This window comes from Homo sapiens, chromosome 12 (genome assembly GCF_000001405.40).
Source record: "Homo sapiens chromosome 12, GRCh38.p14 Primary Assembly".
Taxonomy (NCBI): domain Eukaryota; kingdom Metazoa; phylum Chordata; class Mammalia; order Primates; family Hominidae; genus Homo; species Homo sapiens.
The window spans coordinates 120,557,493-120,582,850 of record NC_000012.12 but is presented as its reverse complement, the minus strand read 5'-3'; the positions used below and the strand labels follow the sequence as shown (position 1 = coordinate 120,582,850).

Below are 25,358 nucleotides of genomic sequence, written 5' to 3'. Positions count from 1 at the left end.
GCTTGGGCAACAGAGTGAGACTCCGTCTCAAAAAACTAAATAAATAAATACAAAAATTAGCTGGTCGTGGTGGCAGGTGCCTGTAATCCCAGCTACTCGGGAGGCTGAGGCAGGAGAATCGCTTGAACTCAGGAGGCAGAGGTTGCAGCCAGCCTCCTGGCTGCATTTATATAAAGTTTAAGAACAGGCAAAATTAATCTAGCAGGGTAGAAGTGGTAATAGTGGCTGATAGCAGTAAGCAATTTGACTGGAAGAGGGCTCAGGGAACCTTCTGGGATACTGGAAATGCTCTTTATTTTAATCTTGGAGGTGGTTATAGAAGTCTATCCATATGTAAAAATTCATTGAGATGAATACACTTAAGAATATGTACTTTATGTAATACCCCATAAGACATTTTTTTTAAAATACTTAAAAATAAAAGAAAAAACATAATTTAACAGAGGGCATAGTTCTCAAGCTGTTTTCTCTGTCTCAGGACCCCTTTACACACGTTACTGAGGGTGCCCAAGAGCTTTTAGTTTTGTGGGTTATATTTACTATGGACATTAAAGTTGAGAAACGTTTAAAAAACAATACACAATTCCTAGAGCAGTGACGTCATCACGTCAAGCAGCCTCTGGAAAACTTGACTGTTCACTCAGAGAGAATGAAAAAGACAAGTAACATCTTAGCATTATTATGAAAGTAATTTTGACTTCGGGGACTCCCAAATCGAGTGAATTTAGGAAATCTCAGTGGTCCCCAGACGGCACTTTGAGAACCACTGGCGCAGGGAGAAAATGACAGAAGAAAACACACTACACGACAACAGTTATTCTCTCTCAGTGCTGGGATTATAATTTATTTGCTTCTTTGTGCTTTTCTGTCAAAAAAAAAAGGTAAACGGAAATGGAAAATACAATGACCACGTATTGTTTCTGCGAGCAAAAAACGAGACGGCACACTCGCCTCCCTAAGATTGCTGAAAGGCCCAAACAGCAATAGCATATTTAGCTGTATGGAAGAATTAAACTGAGCTCAAACCTGAAAATAAAAGTCCGATTTCCCGTTTGTCAATGCCTGGGCTGTGAGGTGCAGGGTCTTGCCCTCAAAAGCTCCACCGTTCACCTTGGGGAGAGAATATACTCGCATACATAACTGTGGTGCAAGGTTCCCAGGGCCCCAAGGGTAGCGGCTACATCCTACACACTATTGTAAACTTCAGTGTGCAACAGAACCATCCATTACAGCTGCAAGGCGCTCCATCCCGGGGTTCAGCCCTCAAACTAGTCAGTGACCCTCCGCAGGACGCATGCGCGCTTACAAACGCAGTTGGGCGGGGCTTGAGAGAGCTGACAGACTTCGGCCTCTCAACTTTCTAGCTCCGCCCTAATATCCTGTCTCCTTCTCTGAATGGCTGAAAGGCTGCGGAAGCAAGCTTCCCATTGGCAGCGGACAGAATTCACATCCGGTTTGCACGCCGGACCGGAGAGCGCGGAGGCAGCCATGGTGCGGTTCAAGCACAGGTAAGCATTCCCTTCCAGACCCTCCCAGTGCCTTGCTGGGTCCTCGCGGCCCCGCTAGTGTCCACCTTCCTCTCGCCTGCCGCAGGTACCTGCTCTGCGAACTGGTGTCTGACGACCCCCGCTGCCGCCTAAGCCTCGATGACCGAGTTCTGAGCAGCCTCGTACGGGACACGATCGCCAGGGTGCACGGAACTTTCGGCGCAGCCGCCTGCTCCATCGGCTTCGCGGGTGCAAGGGCGCTGGGGGAAGAGGGGAACCCGGGAGGATGGCGGGATGTGGAGGGGGCAGGCGCCGGAGGAAGAAAGAAGGGGCACGAGTGGCCAAGCCCGTGCACCGTTTTTTGTAAGGTATCTCTTTAAGCGCCTGGGACCCCAAGCGAGAGTCCGAAATTAGCAGAGCGCTAAAAGGAGGGGCCCGAAGGCAGTGGGGCTTTGAGCTAGAAGCCTCTTTTTACCTGCTTGACAGGTAATTTCTGTAATTGGTTGTGATTGAATTTGATAGGGTAGAGAATTAAATGAGGGAAGCTGTGTATACTTCCTAGTAAGAGCTATTATATGACCGATTACATTAACATCATATGGAAAAAAATTGTCAAAAGTACTCCGGGAAAGCCCTTAAATAGTTGGTAAAGTACAGAACACATGATTGTCAATATATGTAAATACAGGATGAGCTAGGACAGAGGGGCCCTTCTTTCACACCACTTAAATTAGTTCCCACTTTAACCTTGTTTGAGATTGACTTCTGGAGAGTTAAATGCAGATAGACTTAACTCTCCTAAGTCAGGTGAGACTGAGAGCTGACTGCTACAATAATTACGGAGCCCAAATGCAGTAAAACAGCCTGTTTTTCAGGCAAGGGTTTTGTGGGGGTTTTTCCTAAATTAAAACGGATCGCCTCCTACCTGCTCCTATTTATTGAATTAACTAGTGAATTAGAAAGCATTTTCAATTCTAAATTCATTCACCAGTTCTGAGTGGTGTGCAACACAGTGGGTGTTTTGGCTTTTCTCTTTTACTCGCTGATAGATCTACGTGCCACTTGCCTACAACATACTTTTGGCACATAGTAGGCTCTGTTACTCCAAAGTTTTCCTTTTTTCGAGACAGTCTGGCTGTTGCCCAGGCTGCTGGAGTGCAGCAGCGAGATCGGGGGTCATTGCTGCCTCTGCCTCCTGGGTTCAGGCGATTCTCATGCCTCAGCCTCCTGAGTGGCTGGAATTACAGGTGCGCACCACCACACCCAGCTAATTTTTGTATTTTTAGTAGAGACGGGGTTTCATCATGTTGGCCAGGCTGGCCTCGAACTCCTGACTTAAAGTGATCTGCCCGCCTCAGCCTCCCAAAGTGCTGGGATTACAGGCGTGAGCCACCACACAGAGCAAAAGTTTTCCAAAATGATTTTTCTTTCCTGTTGTAGTTCGATATCTCAATGCCTATACTGGAATAGTGCTACTTCGATGCAGAAAAGAATTCTATCAGCTTGTGTGGTCAGCTCTTCCCTTCATCACATACTTGGAGAACAAAGGACACCGTTACCCATGCTTTTTCAACACATTACATGTGGGAGGTAGGAGTGAGGTGGTATGGCTACTGATTTTCAATTGGTGACACGTTCACAGTTCAGTCTAAACTGGTGGGTGGGTCTTGCTGCTGTCCCGCTAACAAGACACTTCCCCCTACCTCTGAAAGTCTGTAAGGTCGAGATCTTTCACAAGCTGTTGACCACAGTAACTCATATGCCAGGTACAATAAGAACATGTCAGAAGTTCCTAATTCAGTACAACAGGAGACAGCTGTTGATCTTGTTGCAGAACTGCACTGATGAAGGTAAGCAACACTAGCCCAGTGCCCACTGAGCAGTGACTGACCTTAAGCTGAAGAAATCACTCCCAAAGATATCTTTCATCCCTGTTATCTGCCTTCTCCAGGAGAGCGGGAAGCTATCCAGAAGTCTGTGACAAGAAGCTGCTTATTAGAGGAGGAGGAGGAGTCAGGTGAGGAGGCTGCAGAAGCAATGGAGTGAACCTCTGCTCCCCACACAGCTGGCTACACTGCTCAGGCTTCAGGCCCACTTGTTGAACAGAACAATCTGGGTAGCAACAGCATCTTCCACAGTTTTCCAAACTGGATAGCTGCCAACCAGCAGACATTACCCACTTGAAATGGAGTACTCAGTTAAACTGAAGTTGCCTTTACCTAGCATTCCCTGGTGAAGTGTTGCAGGTTGTGAACTCTGTAGACATCTTTATTGCTTGGCTAAGAGTAGATTTAATAAATGTATCTGGTTTCCGTGGCATTTAGCATACTTATATTACAGAAAGGGCTTATGGAGTCCATGCTTGGCCAAGTCTCTGTTCTCTCTCTATCCCTAGCCTTGGTGGGAAGACTGACTCCCTATGTGGTACTAGTTAAACTTTTTTTTTTGAGACAGTCTCAGTCTATCACCCAGGCTGGAGTGTAGTGGCCCAGTATCGGCTCACTGCAACCTCCGCCTCCTGGGTTCAAGCAATTCTCCCACCTCAGCCTTCCAAGTAACTGGGATTACAGACGTGCACCACCACGTCTGGCTAATTTTTGTATTTTTAGTAGAGACGGGGTTTTGCCATGTTGGCCAGGCTGCTGTTGAACTCCTGGCCTCAAGTGATCGGCCTACCTTGGCCTCCAAAAGTGCTGGGATTAAAGGGTGAGCCACTGTGCCTGGCCTAAATTTTCAATACTTAGCCTTCTACCTGAAGCTTTGTACCCCCGGCCCCATGATGGGCCCTAAGCAAGCCAAGTCATTTGGAATAGAAATATTAGTTGAGACACAGCAACTGAACTGGCAGAGATCTACAGCCCATCTCAGTACTGAACCACAGGGTCTTACAGATACCAGATTCCTTGCCAATAGTTAATCAGGTAACTTAAAAAATACAACTTTGGGCCGGGCGCAGTGGCTCACACCTGTAATCCCAGCACTTTGGGAGGCTGAGGCGGCCAGATCACAAGGTCAGGAGATCAAGACCATCCCGTCTAACGCAGTGAAACCCTGTCTCCACTAAAAATACAAAAAATTAGCTGGGCATGGTGGTGGGTGCCTGTAATCTCAGGTACTCAGGAGGCTGAGGCAGGAGAATGGCGTGAACCCGGGAGGCAGAGCTTGCAGTGAGCTGAGATCCCACTACTGTACTGCAGCCTGGGCTAGAGCGAGACTCTGTCTCAAACAAAAAATGCAACCTTTGCAGTTGGGGGGGGCGCGGGTGCTGGCCTCATCTGACATCATTACTGCATGGTCATGTAGCAGCTGTCCACTTAAGGAACTTAAGGTAGTTTTTGTAGTTCCGCTCTTATTGCGCCTGAATACAAGGCGCCCTGAAGACAAGTCAGACTGCCATACTCACAGGAAGTAGGAATGGCGGGAGACTTGTGATCCAGGTTTGATCTGCTACCTACTGACATTTCTGGGATCTGTTTTCTCCATAATACAATGGATGAGACTGAAAGTACCATACACATTTAACAGAAACACTGGTGATTCTGGCTTCAACATGCCCCCTCATCTGGAGGCCAGAACACCCTCATCCATCCAGGAAATTTCCTGATAGGATTTCTTTTAAAATGGCAGGTTAAAGCTAAGCCCAGCTCTAGAACCATTTAAACCTGACACCAGAAAAGACAGCCTACAATATCATAGTAGCTGTCACGTTAACCTATTCAAGAAATAACTTGTCTAGCTTACCTGTAATGAACTTAAAAAAACAAAAAGCTCACAATGCTTGTGCAGGTGATTTATTGCAACTATTTGCCTTCGCATTCTAATGCACCTAGAGGTCACTTTATTAAGCAGCAAAAGAATTCACATCAAATTCAGCTCAAACCAAGGCATAAGAAAACTGCTCTAGATGAGAGGGAGATGGTGGCAATGCTACCGCTTCAGATGGCCCTGCTCTCCTGCAGCTGTACCAGACTCCTCCTCCTATGACTCAAGCCAGTCACTGAAAACAAGCTCGATCTTAGGGGTAGCAGGTCTCAGGGCTTCGTGAGTTACAGCTTTCCTTACCAACTCAAGCCATGCTCAAGAAGAGGCAAAACCCTCCTTTCACACATGCAAGTGCCAAGGACAGCCTACTCCATTAAGCTGGCACCACAGCCTGGCCATGTGTCAGAAAAAAAAAAACTGCAATTCAAACTGGGTGTCCTAAATCCATTTTATTCCCACCCCTGTTTCTTTAACAAGGAGAACTAAATAGGTAGTAAAGATTCAGCTGTTTTTTAAAAGACAAACTGAGAGGTGTACTGAGTCCAGGAAGCCCTGACATGATGCTACAGCAGAGCAGTGTGTGCCATTCTGGGTTGGACTGCTCTAATGCATCTCAAAGGGGACTCAATCTTACTTTGGGTTGAGAAAAATTAATTACACATGGGTCAAAAAGACTAAACTGGCAATGAACTAAAAACCTTGGCAGGAAGAGATCTCTTGTGTCAATACTTTATTTTGGTGTAAAGACAGGAAGCTGGAAAATACACTGTATTTAAAATTTTCTTGGTTCCCCCTCACATTGTGGAAACCCCCTCCCCCCAGAGCTAATCTGTTCAAACTCAAATACTTAAAAATTACAGCAGCCAAACAAAAGCATGGGGGAAAAAAAAACAAAAACAAAAACCAGATGGAGAAGGTAGCCTGGGCCAGTAGTGTCACTTGGTGTGGACGACTGAGGTGCTGAACAGGAGCTTCTGTTTCTGTTTTTTTCTTTTCTTTCCTCCTTTCTCTTCTAAAGGGAGACACAGAAAGACAGCTTAACTTAAAATGCCATCCCTTGTCCCCTGGCCAGTTTTCATTACTGAGAGTCACAGAGTGGGAGCTAAGAGTGGAGGCTCTGGAATTAGACTGCCTAGATGCCAATACCAGTCTTGGTATACACCAAGTGGGTGTCTTTGGGCAAATCACTTTTACCTCCCTGGACCTCAGTTTCCCCATCTGTAACGTGAGGTACACCCATTTAACGTGGTTGTTGGGAGAATTAGCACAGTGCTAGGCACATAGCACGCCATACATATGTGATTCTTGTCTAGTCATGAACAGAGTGCAACAGGCTTCGAGACTGACTTCTCCATCTAATTAGCCACCCTGTACCAACTCAAGATTCTAAAGGATACAGGTTGTACACCCCACTGTATCTTGGAAGAGTTCCTCAGAATTTCACTTTCAGGCGTCATCAATTTCTCTGGGGTGGCAAATAGGTCCTATCTGACATACCAAATGGAGTATTATTTAAATGACACTAGAGTGTGCTGAAGGGTTCAGAAGGGAAAGAGCCTAATTAGTGATGTCTGCCACTGAATCCAGGCGGGAATGGCAGTACATGTGTAGTATGTTTGACAACCCTGGGCACTCCAGCCTCTGCCCTTACCAGAGAGGGGATCTGAAGTAGCTGGTGTGTCCAGTTTCATGAAGGCTGCTTCAATAGCTTGGCTGAAGGAATTTTGAAAACTGGGCACAGGAACACGGTCTGAATTATCACTCTCCCCGTCGCTGTCCACAGGGGCAGGAGGAACTAAGCTGTTCTCATCTAAAAAATACCAGTGTTAAAACTATAGAAACAACTCTTTTTCTAGAAACAGCCTTTTATGGAAAGAAGCCAAACTCCCCCTTCACCAGTGGACCATCCTCACCTTTCTTTGGAGCAGTTTTGGGCCACACATCTGCTTTTGCTTTTCCAACCCTCAGCATCTGCCAAAGTGGGAAAGAAGTGGGGGAGAGAATTTAAGTAGCTGGTCCAACTTCTTTTTCAGACCTACCTTGACTAACTGGAGAGGCACAGAACCAACTATCACCTTTGAAAAGATTTTCCAGGTACTTCTCTCCTTAACACACTGTTCTAGTCATGTCCTCTATATCCTGGCTAATGGAAATGGCAATGAAACCCACAAGGTAGTAAACCATAAGCTGTTTGTTCCTTAGGAAATGGGTAAAGAACACTGCACAGAAGGCACAAGAGATTCTTACTGAGACCCTCAAATTGGGAATTCCGACTTTCTGGTTAAGTTTTTCTGCCCTTCCTGGGACCCCTAAAAACATCGAGCTGTCGGAGGAAGCAGTGAGTAGTACCCTCCAGTTTTTGTTTTTTAGACAGTTTAGCTCTTGTTGCCCAGGCTGGCGTGCAATGGCACAATATTGGCTCACTGTGACCTGTGCCTCCCAGGTTCAAGCAATTCTGTCTCAGCCTCCCAAGTAGCTGGGATTACAGGCACCCGCCTGGCTAATTTTTGGATTTTTTTTTTTTTAGTAGAGACGGGGTTTCACCATGTTGGCCAGGCTGGTCCTGAACTCTTGACCTCAGTTAATCCCTCACCTTGGCCTCCCAAAGTGCTGGGATTATAGGCGTGAGCCACTGTGCCCGGCCTAGTACCCTCCAGTTTTTTTTGTTTTGTTCGAGATGGAGTTTCGCTCTTGTTGCCCAGGCTGGAGTGCAATGGCGCAAATCTTGGCTTACCGCAACCTCTGCCTCCCAGCTTCAAGTGATTCTCCTGCCTCATCCTCCTGAGTAGCTGGGATTATAGGCATGCACCACCACGCCCGGCTAATTTTTGTATTTTTAGTAAAGACGGGGTTTCTCCATGTTGGTCAGGCTGGTCTCGAACTCCTGACCTCAGGTGATCTGCCCGCCTTGGCCTCCCAAAGTGCTGGGATTACAGGCATGAGACACCGTGCCCAGCCAAGTACCCTCCAGTTTTAAACCACATGGCTACTAAACTTCAGTTACCTAAAGCCATGAAAACTAACTAAACTCTCTCCTGACACCGCTTCAACAGCCCCTCACTACCTTTTAGTCTGCTTTTCCAATAGCTCCTTCATCATTAACTTTCAGATCCAACCACAGGCCAGTAAAATTCCTGCAAGGACAATAAAATCAGAACAATCCTCATGCCCCTGAGGAATTTTCATTCCACTTGGCCAAGGCCAGCTTTGTAACTGCTGAAGGCCACTATGAGCCCCAACTGCAAATATGCCACTTAAAAGGCAGAGAACATTTTATTCCTGGAAAAATATCAAGAGACAAACCCCATGGGGTTCAAGCAGGGATGCCTTGTCCTTAAATCATATATTCCAAAGTGAGGAATGCCTATTACTCAAGATGAGTTTGTGTTGGCAGATGCCGATTTCATTAAATAACCTTTCTTCATTATGTTCCACTTTGGTGAACTTCTCCCTTTGTCTCTAGGAGTTTGGGTCTCCTACGGTTTAGACATTTGACCCTCCCAAGCCTCATGTTAAAATCTGATCCCCAATGCTGGAAGTGGGGACCTAATGGGAGATGTATGGGTCATGGGGGTGGACCCCTCATGAACAGATTAATGCCCTCCCTGGGGGATGGGAGACCTATTCTCGCATTCATTCCTGAAAGAGCTGATGAGTGATGTCTGCCACTGGATCCCAGTGGGAATGGCAGTACATGTGTGTTTGACAACCCTGGGCACTCCAGCCTCTGCCCTTACCACAGAAGGGATCTGAAGTAGCTGGTGTGTCCAGTTTCACAAAGGCTGCTTCAATAGCTTGGCTGAAGGCTATTTTGAAACTGGGCACAGGAACACGGTTGTTTAAAACGGCCTGGCACCTCCTCCCCTCCTTGCTTCCTCTTTAGCCATGTGATCTCTTCACAAGCAGGGACCCCTTCACTTCGTGTACCATGAGTGGAAGCAGCCTGAGGCACTCACCAGATGCCCAGTCCTCCAGCCAGCAGAGTCATGAGCCAAATAAACTTTTTTTTTTTTTTTGATAAATGACTCGGCGTCGGGTAATCTTTTATACCCACACAAATGGACTGAGACAGTATCCAAATAGTTTGACATGTGAATTGTTTTACTCTTAAAAGGTAATCAAAATGTCACCTATGTCTTATTCTTACCAAAATGTTTAAATGTAACCTGAATCCATTCATGAGAAATCAAACAAGTCCAAACTGTAGGATATTCTATAAAACAACTGGCCATGGAAGGGAAAAAAAAGGGGATATGGGCAAAGGAACGGTTATAGATCAAAGGAGACTAAAGAGACTTGACAACTAAATGCAGGGAGTAACAGGATTCTGCCCTGAGTTGAAAATGAAGGACGCTGAGACAAATGTGGAGATATAAATATGCACCATATTAGATATTACTGTGGCAGTGGAATTTCTCTAATGTGATCACTGTGGTTCTATAGGCGAATATCCCACTTTCTTTGGCATGTATCTCCTAAGTACTTAGCGGTAAAGTATCATTCAGGATATCTGCAACTTCTTTTCAACACAGAAAAAAGAGAAAGCAAATATATAACAGCAAAATAGTAACAATTAGTGAATCTAGGTCAAAAGTTTAAGTGTTCATAATACTATTCTTTCAACTCTGTATTTCAAAATAAAGTTCAAAGGAAAAAAGCAATAGCAATAAAGCCTAGTTTAAAAAAAAAAAAAAAAAAAAAGGCCAGGCGCAGTGGTTCATGTCTGTAATCCCAGCACTTTGGGAGGCTGAGGCAGGTGGATCGCCTGAGGTCAAGAGTTCTAGACCAGCCTGGCCAACATGGTAAAACCCTGTCTCTACTAAAAATACAAAAATTAGCCGGGCATGGTGGTAGGCGCCTGTAACCCAACCCCAGCTACCCGGGAGGCTGAGGCAGGAGAATTGCTTGAACCCGGGAGGCGGTGGTTGCAGTGAGCCGAGATCACGCCATTGCACTCCAGCCTTGGGGACAGGAGCAAGACTTCAACTCAAAACAAAACAAAACAAAACAAAACAAGTATTTGGCATAACTCCTGGGAGCCACTTGTTAATCATCTCTAAGTCCAGCAGTTAATTTTCAGGATCCCCCTCTCTTCTCACCTCACCTCCACAATTATTTCATGTTCCTTGACTTCGGAACCCTCCTTACCAAAGCTCAATTCTTGCTTATTTCTCAGTACAAACTGCTGTAATTACATAAGAAAGATCCGTATCAACTGCTCTAAAGAACTGTCAATGGCCGGGCATGGTGGCTCATGCCTGTAATCCCAGCTCTTTGGGAGGCTGAGGCAGGCGGATCACGAGGTCAGGAGATTGAGACCCTACTGGCTAATACGGTGAAACCCTGTCTCTACTAAAAATACAAAAAATTAGCCGGGCGTGGTGGCAGGCGCCTATAGTCCCAGCTACTCGGGAGGCTGAGGCAGGAGAATGGCGTGAACCCGGGAGGCGGAGCTTACAGCAAGCCAAGATCGCGCCACGGAACTCCAGCCTGGGGGACAGGGAGACTCCGTCTTGGAGAAGAGGAAAAAAAAAAAAAAACTGTCAAGATAATGATTCTGCACTAGCCTCAAAGAAGTTTATACGGACTTCTTACAAGGGCACATGTCAAGCTGTCCATCCATCTTCCTCACTTATCTGAATGCAGGAATGCTGAGTATTAGCTTGTTATCTTAGAGATTAACAAAGTGGTTTCACAGCAAGCCTCACTAGCCTATCGTTCCCCCACCCAGCTCCAAGGAAGCTGCTTTGGCTAGGTGCAGTATAACCAAGACAATCTTCCCCTCTCAAAGTGAAGAGAAATGGCTCATTTTATGTAACAGATAAATACCACCTGAATCAGAGGTCCTAGAACCAGAGACCAGTTAAAACTGATGCTGTATCCCCAGCCCCTACAATAGTATCCAGTACACAAGTTATCAAATGATTTTTAAAATATTCTAAACTCTGATTCTGCCTCAGCTATTCTTGGCCTCTTTCCTGGGTACGTCTACAGTAACATCTGAGGACTAAATCCATGAGCTTTCCTCTTAAGAATGCCTCCCATGATTATTAGAGTCAGTGCAACATTAGCCTGTTAAGTCTCTCCTTTTCCAACAGAGCGGACGTCCATGACATAATCTGCCCTCAACCAACTCCATGCTGCATAAAGCTCCGACAGGCAGTTAACTTCCCTCCTACCCATCAGATGACTCAATTTGTCCAGCCGTATTAGAATGAGAGGTAACAATCCCTGGAGGAGGTTCCCATAATAATGAGCAGCAGAGTTCATGTTAAATACCCCTGGGCTGCTTCACAAGCAAAGGATTTACCTGGGCAAAGGAAGGGAAGGGAGAGTCTTCTTCCAGACTCCCAACGCAGAATGAGGGACTGCCCTGACTGGCAGTGGGTGACAGAGGGGTCAGCAGAAAGTCTGAAAGGGAACCAGAGACCTGATTATATTCGTCACGTTCCAAGGGGTGTCCTTAACAAGAGAGATGAGTGAGCCCTGAGTCAGGTCTGGAAAATTACAAATCATCCCCTCAAAAAAAAAAAAGCAAACATTGATCCAACTTTCAACTCTTCCATGTTCTTAAAAAGCCAACAATATCACCAGTGAAATCAGCGACCGGTACAGGAAGAGGGAAGAGCTTCATCGTTACAGTAACTCTAGAAGTCATGGTAGAATCTACTCCAACTGTAAGAAAAGTCTTTGCTTTTGAAATGCTATACTTTCCACAAAGGCTGGCTCTCAAGGATAGGTACTGTCAGGGACTGGTTTTACAAGGATGAAATAGCTCCAAGAAAAAGATAAAATTTAATCAGCTCAGCTTTTACATTCCCGATAGTAGACACTATGACCTGGGAGTATCCAATTAGAATCCAAGACACATCAACAAGATCCAGCACAAGGATGCAAACTTTTCCCCAATACTCCCTAGGTAATACACTTCTCTATCCATTCTGACTAGAGCTGAACACTTCCCACAGATGAGTCTATCCACTGCCCTGAACAGTGTTGGACGAGAGGGGCCCTATTCTCTCCCCCAGCAGCAGGCCCTCACATGGTCAGTACTCTTATTACTAGGACCAACCAATTGCTCTTGCTTAAATACATTAAAAGCTTAAACTTTCAGAAAAGCCGGGTGCGGTGGCTCCCGCTGTAATCCCAGCACTTTGGGAGGCTGAGGTGGGTGGATCACCTGAGGTCAGGAGTTCAAGACCAGGCTGGCCAACATGGCAAAACCCCATCCCTACTAAAAATACAAAATTAGCTGGGCATGGTGGCGGGCACCTGTAATCCCAGCTACTTGGGAGGCTGAGGCAGGACAATCACTTGAACCTGGGAAGTGGAGGCTGCAGTGAACCGAGATCGTGCCATTGTGCTCCAGCCTGGGTGATAGAGCAAAACTCCATCTTAAAAAAAAAAAAAAAAAAAAGGCTGGGTGTGGTGGCTCACGCCTGTAATCCCAGCACTTTGGGAGGCTGAGGCAGGCAGATCACAAGCTCAGGAGATCGAGACCATCCTGGCTAACACGGTGAAACCCCATCTCTACTAAAAATACAAAAAATTAGCCAGGCATGGTGGCACGCTACACAGCTACTCAGGAGGCTGGGGCAGGAGAATCGCTTGAACCCGCGAGGGGGAAGTTGCAGTGAGCCAAAATCGCACCACTGCACTCCAGCCCGGGCGACAGAGAGACAGACTCCATCCAAAACAAAACAAAACAAAAAGCAGCTTTCAGAAAAGACAGTATGTGAAAACACAATCTCGGTATCACAGATAGGCTGGGCACAGTGGCTCAGGCCTATAATCCCAGCACACTGGGAGGCCGAGGCAGGCGGATCACTTGAAGCCATGAGTTTGAGACCAACCTGGCCAACATGGCGAAACCCCATCTCTACTAAAAATACAAAAATTAGCAGGGTATGGTGGTGCTGCCTGTAATCCCAGCTACTCGGGAGGCTGAGGCACAAGAATTGCTTCAACCTGGGACGCAGAGGTTGCAGTGAGCCGAGATTGTGCCTTGTGCCACTGCACTCCAGTTTGGGCGACAGAGCGAGACCCTGTCTCAAAAAAAAAAAGATGCATATCACAAATAATGTATTTAATGATCTGCCACAGTCCTTCGTATGCTCCTTTTTCAGTTAAGCAGAAGAGCGTCACAGTAGTGCAGTCCTCAAGAACCAGGTTCTAATCCCAGTTCTTGCCACTAAGTACCTGCCTCAGCCACAGGTTCCTAATCTGCAAAATGATATGCATATGAACAAAATGGTCACCACAAGTTTTAAATATTCCAATGATGGACACTTTGTTAAGAATGCCCGACAGAGGCCAGGCACAGTGGCTCATGCCTGTAATCCCAGGACTTTGGGAGGCCAAGGCAGGTGGATTACCTGAGGTCAGCTGGCGGATCACCTGAGGTCAGGAGTTTGAGACTAGCCTGACCAACATGGAGAAACCCTGTCTCTACTAAAAATACAAAATTAGCCAGGCATGGTGGCATATGCCTGTAATCCAAACTACTTGGAGGCTGAGGCAGGAGAATCGCTTGAACCCAGGAGGCAGAGGTTGCAGTAAGCTGAGATTGCACTATTGCACTCCAGCCTGGGCAACAAGAGCGAAACTCCATCTAAAACAAAACAAAACAAAACAAGAATGCCTGAGAAATCAGACGTAAGCATCAAAAAGTATCTTTCTTGGCCAGGTACAGTGGCTCACACCTGGAATCCCAGCACTCTGGGAGGCTCAGGCAGGAGGATCACTTGAGCCCAGGAGTTCAAGACTGCAGTGAGCTAATGAATGCATCACAGCACTGAGCAAGACCCTATCTCTTAAAAACAAACAGGCTGGGCACAGTAGCTCCCACCTGCAATCCCAGCACTTTGGGAGGTTGAGGCAGACAGAACACTTGAGGCCAGGAGTTCGAGACCAGCCTGGCCAACATGGAGAGACCCTGTCTCTATTAAAAATACAAAAATTAGCCAGGCATGGTGACGCACACCTGTAATCCCAGCTACTCATGAGGCTGAGGCAGAAGAATCGCTTGAACCCGGGAGGCAGAGGTTGCAGTTAGCTGAGATTGCACCAGTGCACTCCAGCCTGGGTGACAGAGCTAGACTCCATCTCAAAAAAAAAAAAAAGAAATTAATAAACCATGTGCCAGGCAGATGAAGATCACAAAAGATAGTTCTCTGAAATTATAGTAACTCTTTAATAAATGTTTAATTTCATAACACTTTAAACATTCTTTATATATAAGACAAACTTTTTGAAGGCTAAAGGCCCATTTGAACATTTCAATCCAGTCTCATTCCTTAGAATGTAACACTACTACCAATTTGGAACACATCTGTCTCAGTATTTTTCTTTTTTTTTTTGAGAGGGTCTGGCTGTGTTGCCCAGGCTAGAGTGCAGTGGCCCAATCTGGGCTCACTGCAACCTTTGCCTCCTAGGCTCAAGCCATCTCCCCACCTCAGCCTCCCAAGTAGCTGGGACTACAGGTACACACTACCACACCTGGCTAAATTTCGTATTTTTTGTAGAGACAAAATTTGGTTGGTCTTGAACTCCTGAGCTCAAGGGAATCTGCCCACCTTGGCCTCCCAAAGTGCTGAGATTACAGGTGTGAGCCACCGTGCCTGGCCTTCAATTCTTTTCTATACATTTAATATTTTTTTATTTCCTCCCCTGCCTTCTAACAGAAGTTTTTCTATACATTTACATATATATATATACATACACACACACACACACACACACCCATAATGAAATGCTTTAGTTTTGTGGTGGTGGTGGTGTTTTTTTAAAACCCACGAACATTTATTCTTGTTCTACAAATTACTTTTATCTTCCCATTAGTACGTGAATAGAAGAATTACATTCCCTTCTTTAACAGGTGTGATTTTTTTTTTTTTTTTTTGAGACAAAGTCTCGCTCTGTCGCCCAGGCTGGAATGCAGTGACGCAACCTTGTCTCACTGAGACCTCCGCCTCCCAGGTTCAAGCAATTCTGTTGCCTCAGCCTCCCAAGTAGCTGGGACTACAGGCGCCTGCCACCATGCCCTGCTAATTTTTGTATTTTCAGTAGAGATAGGGTTTCACTGTGTTGGTCAGGCTGGTCTTGAATTCCTGACCTCGTGATCCACCCGCCTTGGCCTCCCAAAGTGCTGGGATTACAGGCATAAGCCACCACGCCCGGCCTTCTGGTGTGAAACATTTTACAGTATAAATACTATAATTTAGTCATTTTCTTATTGGTAGGCTTTCTAAACTGTTTTTTTTTTTTGAGCTATTAAAACGATGCTACAATAAAGAGACATGTACAAAGATGTTTAGGCATACAGGGGAGTATCTCAAACAAAAACTAGAAACAAAAATAGGTGGGTCAAAGGGAAGACTCCATTTTCAACTATCCTGCCTAAAGAGCTCCTTGAGGTGCTTAGAAGCTGGCAGGGTAAAGCAGTCAGTATAGCAAGTGGGAAAGATGAATAAAAGAATTTGATGTACCTCAGGACTACCAAAGTAAGGTTATGCCCCTGAAGTCCACACCATGCTGAGTGGGCCGGGGTTGTAAACTCAGACACCAAAGCTTTGCATAAGGTCTAACTGATGGGTGAATTCATTAAATTTCACCTGTTTACCTGCATGGGAACCTGGACTTCTGCTGAGAGGAGAAATGGAGAGGGCCCCATGGCCCTCGGTGCTGGTGGGACCCAAAGCAGAATCAGAGGAGCAGGTATAAGAATTGAAGGCAGGAAACTGCTGTAGATTCTCGAGGGGAATGTGGACTTCTGGGTCTGCAAAGGAAAGATAACCCTTGTAAACCCATTTACAGAATTCAATTTTTTTTTTTTTTTTTTGAGATGGGGTCTCACTCTGTCACCCAGGCTGGAGTGTAGTGGTACGATCTCTGTTCACTGCATCCTCTGCCTCCCAGGCTCAAGCGATCCTCCCACCTCAGCCTCCCGAGTAGCCGGGACCACAGGCACGTGCCACCACACCTAGCTAATTTTTTGAATTTTTAAAGAGATGAGGTTTCACCATGTTGTCCAGCCTGGTCTTGAACTCCTGAGCTCAAGTGATCTGCCCACCTTGGCCTCCCAAAGTGTTGGGATTATAGACGTGAGCCACCACACCTGGCCTGAATTTTTCAAATAGTTTCCAACAGTTGAGGACATCACACATGCGTACCCCCAAAGGTCTAGAGGATGCAGACAAAAGCTAAAACCCAAATTTACAATAACTGTCCTTCTATAATGTCTTTAATATAGTTAACCTTGTTCTAACTATTCATAATTGAGGCTGGGTAACAAACATGCAGGTTAATTACATTGTTCTACTTGTCTTGATATTTCCATAATAAAAAGGTGAAAACAAAAAATCCTATTCCTGAAATATCAGTTTTCTCAAAGTTCAGGACATGTGCCAAACACCTACACGGTGTTGGGACCCCAAGTATACACTTGTCCCACTTGAGATATAAAATGTATGTTTCCATGCCATATGGAGTCAAAACACCGAAGTCCTTTTCTGGGCCAAGGACTCAGTTCCTTGTGTTCTAGTGGATAATGGGACCTCAGGTCACACTAATCCCCTGGATTCAATGAAACTTATTTTGGAGAACCAGATCAAAAGGCTGTGCTTACTGCTACGAAAGATCTCTTAAATCCAACTTCCTGCATTTCCTAGTCTATCAAAATTTCCATCTTATCAGACCCACCTGGCAGACTTGCTGTGTATAGCTGGTCCCTTTAATAAAGAGTCAGAGGTAAGGTCAGTGATCCAGAGAGCATGGGGAACGATGGCCCCCAGCATTCTTAGCGAAGCCCCAATTCCCATCTCTGGAACAGGTGTATATCACCCACTATTACCAAGGCTGAATTTCCTCTTAATCCTTACTATGTGCTAGGCACTTTGACCCATATTAACTCATTATATTTGCAAGCAAGCCTATTAAGGAGGTGCTCTCATGATTCACATTTAAAAGTTGAAGAAAACAAGTGGCTAAGGTCTGGCTCCCAGGTCCCAGACACAGAGTTCTATACAACGACGTACAGCAGTGCTAGTCAAAGATGAAAGTTCCTGAACTTACACTTGCCCTGTTTCTTGTTCTCCTCTATCTCAATCCTGCGCTCTCGGCGGCGTTCCTCCCGAGCCTTCTTTTGGCGCTGACGTTTCCTCTTCTCAATGTCATCTGCAGATTGGTCAGGTTGTAAAGAGGTAGACCCAGGACAACATGGTCATTACCTCCTCCCAGTATTAGCAGCTAAACCCACAACAGTAGGCCCAGCTGGACTAGATGAACAGATGAAGTGTTTAGGAGGTACTAAGACTCATGATACAGTTCCATAAGTTTCCTCCCCCACTGGGTGTCTAGCCACAAGAATCCCTGAACCCTACTATAAAGAGAAGCAGAGCAGGGGCATTCTCACCTGAGAACATCTCTAGGGTTTCCTTAGAGACCACAGGAGGTTGCAAAGCCAGTTCACAGATGCTGAACTCACAGGTGAGTGGCAAGTGAGAGAGATATCTGTGACGCTGTCGAACATCCTACATTGGAAAAAGGACCAATACTCAACAAAAGCAAGCCTAACTCTGAAAGCAGGGGGTCCTAACCCCGATATCCAACAATATATACATAACACAGCCAGCACTGGGGCTGGAAACAGTAGTGCTCAATTATCCTCATTTTGAAAAGCCAAAGAGAAACTGTCAACCTACAGCAAGGTGGAATAAGCAACCAAATCCAGTTATTTTTGGTTTGTACTGCAAAGGAGTGAACTGAGTCCAGCAACAAATAATCTAAAGCCCATCAGCTGTTTCTGATTTTTTCAAGGCCCCACAGCTGAGGGGGACGAACAGAGAAGATAAAGTTATTTGTTGGCAGAAAAACAGAACAGAAAAAAACCTGGGAACCACTGACAGAATAAATAACTGGGAAGGAAGATAAAGCAGATCTCCCTATTGAAAGACACTTGGCCTGAAATAGTAGAAAATGAAGCCCAATTTTTTTTTTCTGAGACATGGTCTTGCTCTGCCGCCCAGGCCAGCTCACTGCAGACTTGATCTCCCCAGCTCAGGTGATCCTTCTGCCTCAGCCTCCTGAGGAGCTGGGACAACAGGTGCACATCATCATACCCAGCTAATTTTTTTTTGTATTTTTTGTAGAAATGCCCTGGCTGGTCTGAAACTCCTAGCCTCAAGCAATCTGCCTGAGTAGGCCTCCCAAAAGTGCTGGGATTACAGGTGTGAGCTACCACATCCAGCCCATTTATTTTCATTTCTATTCTTTTTCTGCATATGTTTGATGAAAAATTTATAGTACTCAAAGAGTCTAATTTTAAATCTTACAACAAATTTGTGACATTTCTCCCAAGCAATAAGGAGGATAAGAAACAAAAATAAACTCCATCTTAAATAAAAGAAATATCTATATCCCCAAACTACAATCAATGAACCAGAGAAGCAGGGAACAGCATTAACTGATTTAACAGAACCCTGGCATGCTGAGGGGACACTTCACTTACAAAGAATTCACAGCACCATCACTGACAGAAAGACTAAAAATACAAAAACTAAAGGCCTTGAAGGTTTGTGAACTTAGGATGGCTAGGCCTACCTCAAAGAGATTAGGTTAATACTGCTGCCTGACCCTCCATTTCTACAGGAAGGCCTCACCTCAGACATGGAGTAGCCAGCAATCTCCACCACAGTTGCTGAGATCTTCTCGGGGCTCCTCTCCAGGCTGCCGTACTCCCGCACGAGGCAGCGCACATTCACAGGGTGCAGGAACATATGCTGTCCATCTTCCGCTGAGGACAAGGGGCTCTATCACACACCAGTCTTGGCCAGTCCCCAGGAGGCTCCCCACCCCTCCCCATGCCCAAGGGCTCAAGCCACCCAAGCCACAGGATCTAGTGGCGCTCCTCTGCTTAGAGCACCGGGTCACCTCTGAAACACCTCTGCGGCAACCCAGCCCTCTCTTCCGGCACCCTCACCTTGGTAAAAGTAGTAACAAGGAGAGCTGCTGAGGCGTGTGAAGCCTGACTTGGTGATGGGTTCCTGCTGGCTGGACTCAGTGCAAATGGTCCCCTCTTTAAGATTGTCATCTGCTAACTCCAAGTCATCACAGGCCTCTGGCAACCCCTCAGGCTCTGGTTCAGACACTGCTTCCTCCTCTTCTACCAGAGGGAGAGCAAGAGGTCTAGAAGGAGTGTCCAGAGAACAAACTTCCGTGGTTTCTTCATCGAAGGCAGACAGATACTCCAGCACACCCTGTTGCAGCAAACTCTAAGTCAACAGAAAGGATATCTCCTGCTTTCCGAAAGCAATGTGGCAAATGCAGACCTAAGAGCCAAGCTCCCTAGATGTTTATCTTAGCTGTCGTGTTCACTGATTTAACACCCCTGGGGAAAGAACTAATAACAAGCATACAGAAAATACTCATTGTCCCCTCTTCTCTTGAGAAGGTTTAGATCTCACAGTAATGCCTACCAGCTCAATGACAGCATTTGAGGAACGGCAGCCACTTAGTAACAGGAACACACTAACCTTCCTGGGTTGAAAAACAGACTCCTTCGCCAAGGGAGCCATCAGCACCAGTTGTTCCAGAGCAGCCACAACACCAGTGACCTCCCTTCTGCTTCCGGCCAATCCCGACAGAGCCTCTTCCCGAGTCTAACGTGGCCAGAGAGAACACCAGAGAAGGTTAAGTTTCCAGACACACACTTAGCTTGAAGGGCAAGGGCTTAGAATGGCCTCTCAACAGGACCAAAAGTTAAAAGGCAATGAGACCCAATGGGAAGGAATTAGGTGCTTAAATATCTCAACTTTGAGGGAAACAGGAAGCAAAAAGCATGCAATACCCACTAAGGATTGGAATCTGCTTAGAATCTGACACTGGGGAGTGTAAATTAGTTCAATCATTGTGGAAGACAGTGTGGTGATTCCTCAAAGACCTAAAGACAGAAATAAAATTTCACCCAGCAATCCCATTACTGGGTATATAGCCAAAGGAATATAAATCATTCTACTGTAAAGACACATACGGCCAGGTGTGGTGGCTCATGCCTGTAATCCCAGCACTTTGGGAGACTGAGGTGGGCGGATCACCTGAGGTTGGAAGTTCAAGACCACCCTGACCAACATGGAGAAACCCCATCTCTACTAAAAATACAAAATAACCCAGGCATGGTGGGGCATGCCTGTAATTCCTGCTACTCAGGAGGCTGAGGCAGGAGAATCACTTGAACCTTGGAGGCAGAGGTTGTGATGAGCCGAGATCACGCCACTGCACTCCAGCCTGGGCAACGAGAGCAAAACTCTGTCTCAAAAAAAAAAAAAAAAAAAAGAAAGAAAGAAAAAGAAAAACCAAATATCGCACACATGTTCTCACTTCTAAGTGGGAGCTAAATGATGAAACATGGACACATAGAGGGGAACACACACTGAGGCCTATCAGAGGGTGGAGAGTGGGAGGAGGGAGGGGATCAGGAAAAATAACCAATGGGTACTAAGCTTAATACCTGGGTGAAAATCTGTATAACAAACCCCCATGACACAGGTTTACCATGTAACAACCTGCATTTGTACCCCTGAACTTAAAAGTTAAAAAAAATAAAAGAGAATCTGACACAAACAACACTATACAAAAAACTTCCAGAACAGAAATCTAAGAACATGAAACTAACCTAGTTTTTACAAACTATGCTCAGACAGAGGTCCAGAGTAGTAGGAAGGATTTAGCTAACTCCACCTCAGCCTGGACAGCTCTAATTCTATGTAGCCTTTCTTATGCCTGTAATGGCATTTGAACAAATACGGCTGCAACGTATTATAGAAAGAAAGCAAAAGTTAAATACACAGGACTCTACCCAAGGAGCCCTTGGGAGTCAGGGAGAAGGGAATTCAAATACCAGCTGCATCCCTTACTAGCAAATTACCCAACCCAGGATTCAGTTTCCTCATCCATGAAAGGGGATAGTTCTATCTACCACACTAGAAGCTTAAGTGAGATAAATGTGTATAGCACAAGTCCTATCAAATGCTGATCACTCAATAAATATGGGCTTCTATTGCTCTAAGCTAGATCAGTGGTTCCAGGAGTGTGGTCTGGGGATGAGCAGCCATCAGAATCACCCTAGAACTTGTTATATGCAAATTACTGAGCCTACTGAGCTTAACCTATGCAATCAATATCTCAAAGTGGGACCTAACAACCAGTGGTTGTGATGCTTCAAGAATCTCTGTTGTGGAAGATAAAAGACCCAGGGAATTCTGTTCTTGTGTAATTCTTGCCGTTTCAGGTACTCCTAAGGCATACTGGGCAGGCCATAATACTTTCTCCACAATGTCTTTCAAAACACCTCTAGAATAGAATCTTAAGTATTTTCCCAGAAAACAAAGAACTCTAACTTGCTTTAAGAACATAGCTAATCTAAAAAACTCCACTGTCACAATTAGTTATAAAATCATTTTGACTTGCTCCTTTCAGCTCTAGAAAGAGCTTTAAAAGCCCTAGGTTAAACCTTCTCTACTGTCATCAAACAAAGCCCAAAACAAATTGGCTTTTTTAGCCATTCTCTGCTTATTGTCTTAAATGTGGAATGGAACTAACTTAATCCCCAGCGTCCATCATCTCACCCCCGACAGAGTGAAAAGGTTTAGCATTTCTGGTTTTCACCACAGAACGCCGAGAAAGTGAAAAGGTTTAGCATCTCCAATGCATCCTCTCACCTTGAGCTCCTGGATAGCTGCCTCAATAAAGCAGGACTCGGGAGTGTGCTTCTCCTCTGCCAGCTGCTGCTCTAGTGCTACTTTCTCCTCCAGAACTACCCGGTGCAGCACCTGCTCCTTAGAGGCCAGCAGCAACTTGGAGTACTGGCTGTGCTGTTCATCTATAAGAATGCCAGCAAGATCAAAGAAATGCAACATTCAAAGCTCACGATGGTGTAGCTAAATAGGAATTTTCAAATACAGCCTTTTCTCTGGGGTGAAAATGGGGTAATTTAGCATGATTTCCTAGAAAATAATTTAACAATGGTCTTAAAATAAGGTCTGTAGCTCTGCTCTTGATATAAGAAATCTAAGAAACCCAGAGATGTAGTCAAAACTTTAGTCACGCGTTTATTGTTACAGCATTGTATGTAATATCAGAAAAGCTCAAACCAGCCAGGCACCATGGCTCACACCTGTAATCCCAGCACTTTGGGAGGTCAAGGCGGGTGGATCACTTGAGATCAAGAGTTCGAGACCAGCCTGACCAACATGGTGAAACCCCGTCTCTACTAAAGATACAAAAAAGTTAGTCGGGCCTGGTAGGGCATGCCTGTAATCCCAGCTACTTGGGAGGCTGAGGCAGGAGAATCGCTTGAACCCAGGAGGCAGAGGTCGCAGTGAGCCAAGATCATGCCACTGCATTCCAGCTTGGGCAACAAAAGCGAAACTCTGTCTCAAAAAAAAAAAAAACAAAAAAAACCACACACAGAAAAAGAAAAGCTCAAACCAACCAGTAAAACCAACAATAAAGAATAAAGAAATGGTGGACCAGCGCAGTGGCTCACACCTATAATCCCAGTACTTTGAGAGGCCAAGACAGGAAGATTGCTTGAGTTTAGAAGTTTAAGACCAAGCCAGCTGGGTGTGGTGGCTCACGTTCAGCACTTTGGGAGGCTGAGGCAGGTGGATCACCTGAAGTTAGGAGTTCGAAACCAGCCTGGCCAACATAGAGATACCCTGTTTCTATTAAAAATACAAAAAATTAGCTGGGCGTGGTGACGGGCGCCTATAATCCCAGCTACTAGGGAGGCTGGAGTAAGAAAATCGCTTGAACCCAGGAGGCAGAGGTTTCAGTGAGCCAAGATCGCACCATTGCACTCCAGCCTGGGCAACAAGTGCAAAACTCTGCCTCAAAAAATAAAATTAAAAAAAAATAACACCAGGCGGAGTACGGTGGCTCACACCTGTAATCCCAGCACTTTGGGAGGCTGAGGTAGGCGGATCACAAGATCAAGAGATTGAGACCATGCTGGCCAACATGGTGAAACCCCGTCTCTACTAAAAATACAAAAACTAGCCAGGTGTGGTGGTGCGTGCCTGTAATCTCAGCTACTCAGGACGCTGAGGCAGGAGAATCTCTTGAACCTGGGAGGCGGAGATTGCAGTGAGCCGGGATTGCACCACTGCATTCCAGCCTGGCAACAGAGTGAGACTCCATCTCAAAACAAAAACAAAAACAAAAAAAGCACAACACACACACACAAAAAAAACAAAAATTAGCCGGGCGTGGTGGCAGGTGCCTGAAATGCCAGCTACTCAGGAAGCTGAGGAAGGAAAATCGTTTGAACCGAGGAGGTGGAGGTTGCAGTGAGCCGAGATCACACCATTGCACTCCAGCCTGGGAAACACAGCAAGACTCCGTCTCAAAAAAAAAAAAAAAAAAAAAAAGAGTAGTTCAAGACCAGCCTATCAACATAGCAAGACCTCATCTCTGCTAAAAATAAAAATAAAAAATTAACTATACCTGCATGCCCAGTTAATTTTTTAAAATAAAAAAAATAATTTAAAATTAAAAGTTAATTTAATTAATTAAATTAATTTTAATTATTTTAATGAATTTAATTAATTAAAAGTAATTATTGCCACTGCACTCCAGCCCAGGCGACAAAGTGAGATTCCATCTCAAATAAAGGGTTAATGACATGATGGTATGTTCATTAACGAAAATTCTGTGGACACTAAAAGTGGTTTTCTTGGCCGGTCACAGTGGCTCACGCCTGTAATCCCAGCACTTTGGGAGGTAAGGCGGGCAGATCACTTGAGCTCGGGAGTTCGAGACTAGCCTGCCAACATGGTGAAACCCCGTCTCTACTAAAAATACAAAAAAAATCAGCCAGGCATGGTGGCGGGCGCCTGTAGTCCCAGCTACTCGGGAGGCTGAGGCACGAGAATCGCTCAAACCCGGGAGGCAGAGGTTGCAGTGAGCCAAGATCATGCCACTGCACTCCAGCCTGGGTGACAGAGCCAGACTCTGTCTCAAAAAAAAATATATATATACATATTATATTATATATCTATAAATAAAATAAAAATAAAATTTATCAGTCTTTTACAGCATCTATCATTTCAGCCTGGTTCAAAAATCCACCCATATCTGAGGATTTTTTTTTAATTAATACACATTTTTAATGTTTTAAGTTGCTAAACATTTAAACAGTCAAAATCACTAGGAAAAAAATATTACACACACACATTTACCACCCAAATGAGAACACACAATCCTTCAGACAGATGCACATCTGAGGATTTATAAAGAAATTGTCCTATATTTTCTTTTAAATAAAAAGGTTAAAACTTTTGGATTTTTTACATTTACTTCTTCAATCTATCTGGAATTAATTTCATGAATGGTATGAAATAGGAATCTAATTTTATTTTTTCCTTAGGGAGAATCAATTGTTTCAATACCATTTATTGAGAAATCTATCTTTTCCCCAGAGACTGAAATGCTATTTTAATCAAATGCTCATTTCTGCATGAAACACAGGGAATACATCTCTGGCATTCATTGTGAGCACTTATCACACTCTTTATCCTAATGGCCAGTCTACCAGTCTGTCTCTTCTATCGGACTACTGAGTTTCTTGACGACAGGCACCAAGACTGGCTGACCACAGAACCTCTAAGATTGGGCACAGTGAAAGACACTATGTAATAAAACCTTGTAAAATGAAAAATTAGGATGTATAGATTAAACAAACTTGAAACCAATAATTAATCTACTCTCTACAAACCCCACCCTAACCTACTGGAATCCTATGACTAATATGAACATGCCAGATGTGCCCTGCCCAAAGGCTTCACTTTCTGATGCTTAGATATATTCAATCACCTTAAAGAATGTACCCAGGATTATTTGTCCCCAAAATTTAAAGAACTCACCTCCTAGATGAATGGGATGGTCTACATTCATCCATTTGGATTTGGGCAAAGCCACCAACACCCCTTTCTCCCTCTTCATCAGCTGCATCGTAATGGTATCACCAACAACATACTGATGTGACTCTGTGGCAACAACACTGAAACATGGACACTCATATGTAGCAGGGCAAGGAGTGAAGAGATTGGGATC

General features: G+C 45.0%; 2 protein-coding genes across 5 annotated transcripts in view; one reads left to right on the top strand and one right to left on the bottom strand.

The window, feature by feature from the left end:
* The first annotated feature begins 1,448 nt into the window (after window positions 1-1,448).
* On the top strand, window positions 1,449-4,087 carry POP5 (POP5 ribonuclease P/MRP subunit). Of its 3 annotated transcripts, none has more exons than NM_015918.4 (5): window positions 1,449-1,508; window positions 1,594-1,736; window positions 2,928-3,077; window positions 3,254-3,337; window positions 3,439-4,087. In NM_015918.4, the coding sequence occupies exons 1-5, from the start codon at window positions 1,489-1,491 to the stop codon at window positions 3,531-3,533; spliced, it is 492 nt and encodes a 163-aa protein (NP_057002.2). In that variant the 5' UTR covers window positions 1,449-1,488; the 3' UTR covers window positions 3,534-4,087. The 3 variants fall into 3 exon arrangements, with proteins under 3 accessions (NP_057002.2, XP_011536743.1, NP_937845.1); XM_011538441.2 differs by having other exon boundaries at window positions 3,200-3,337; NM_198202.2 differs by lacking the exon at window positions 2,928-3,077.
* Window positions 4,088-5,262: 1,175 nt separating this feature from the next.
* The window catches only part of RNF10 (ring finger protein 10), a 43,233-nt gene continuing 23,137 nt past the window's right edge, over window positions 5,263-25,358 (bottom strand). Inside the window, exons 6-17 of one of the 2 annotated variants that reach the window (NM_001330474.2) lie at window positions 25,169-25,305; window positions 21,965-22,125; window positions 19,781-19,906; window positions 19,228-19,519; window positions 18,908-19,041; window positions 17,662-17,779; window positions 17,322-17,423; window positions 15,871-16,026; window positions 11,560-11,660; window positions 7,163-7,220; window positions 6,901-7,059; window positions 5,263-6,261 (exon numbers count right to left, since the gene is read on the bottom strand). In NM_001330474.2, coding sequence (NP_001317403.1) covers window positions 6,185-6,261; window positions 6,901-7,059; window positions 7,163-7,220; window positions 11,560-11,660; window positions 15,871-16,026; window positions 17,322-17,423; window positions 17,662-17,779; window positions 18,908-19,041; window positions 19,228-19,519; window positions 19,781-19,906; window positions 21,965-22,125; window positions 25,169-25,305 — 1,621 coding nt within the window. In that variant the 3' untranslated portion in view covers window positions 5,263-6,184. The remainder of the gene's footprint in view (window positions 6,262-6,900; window positions 7,060-7,162; window positions 7,221-11,559; window positions 11,661-15,870; window positions 16,027-17,321; window positions 17,424-17,661; window positions 17,780-18,907; window positions 19,042-19,227; window positions 19,520-19,780; window positions 19,907-21,964; window positions 22,126-25,168; window positions 25,306-25,358) is intronic. The other variant, NM_014868.5, reaches the window with a different exon arrangement.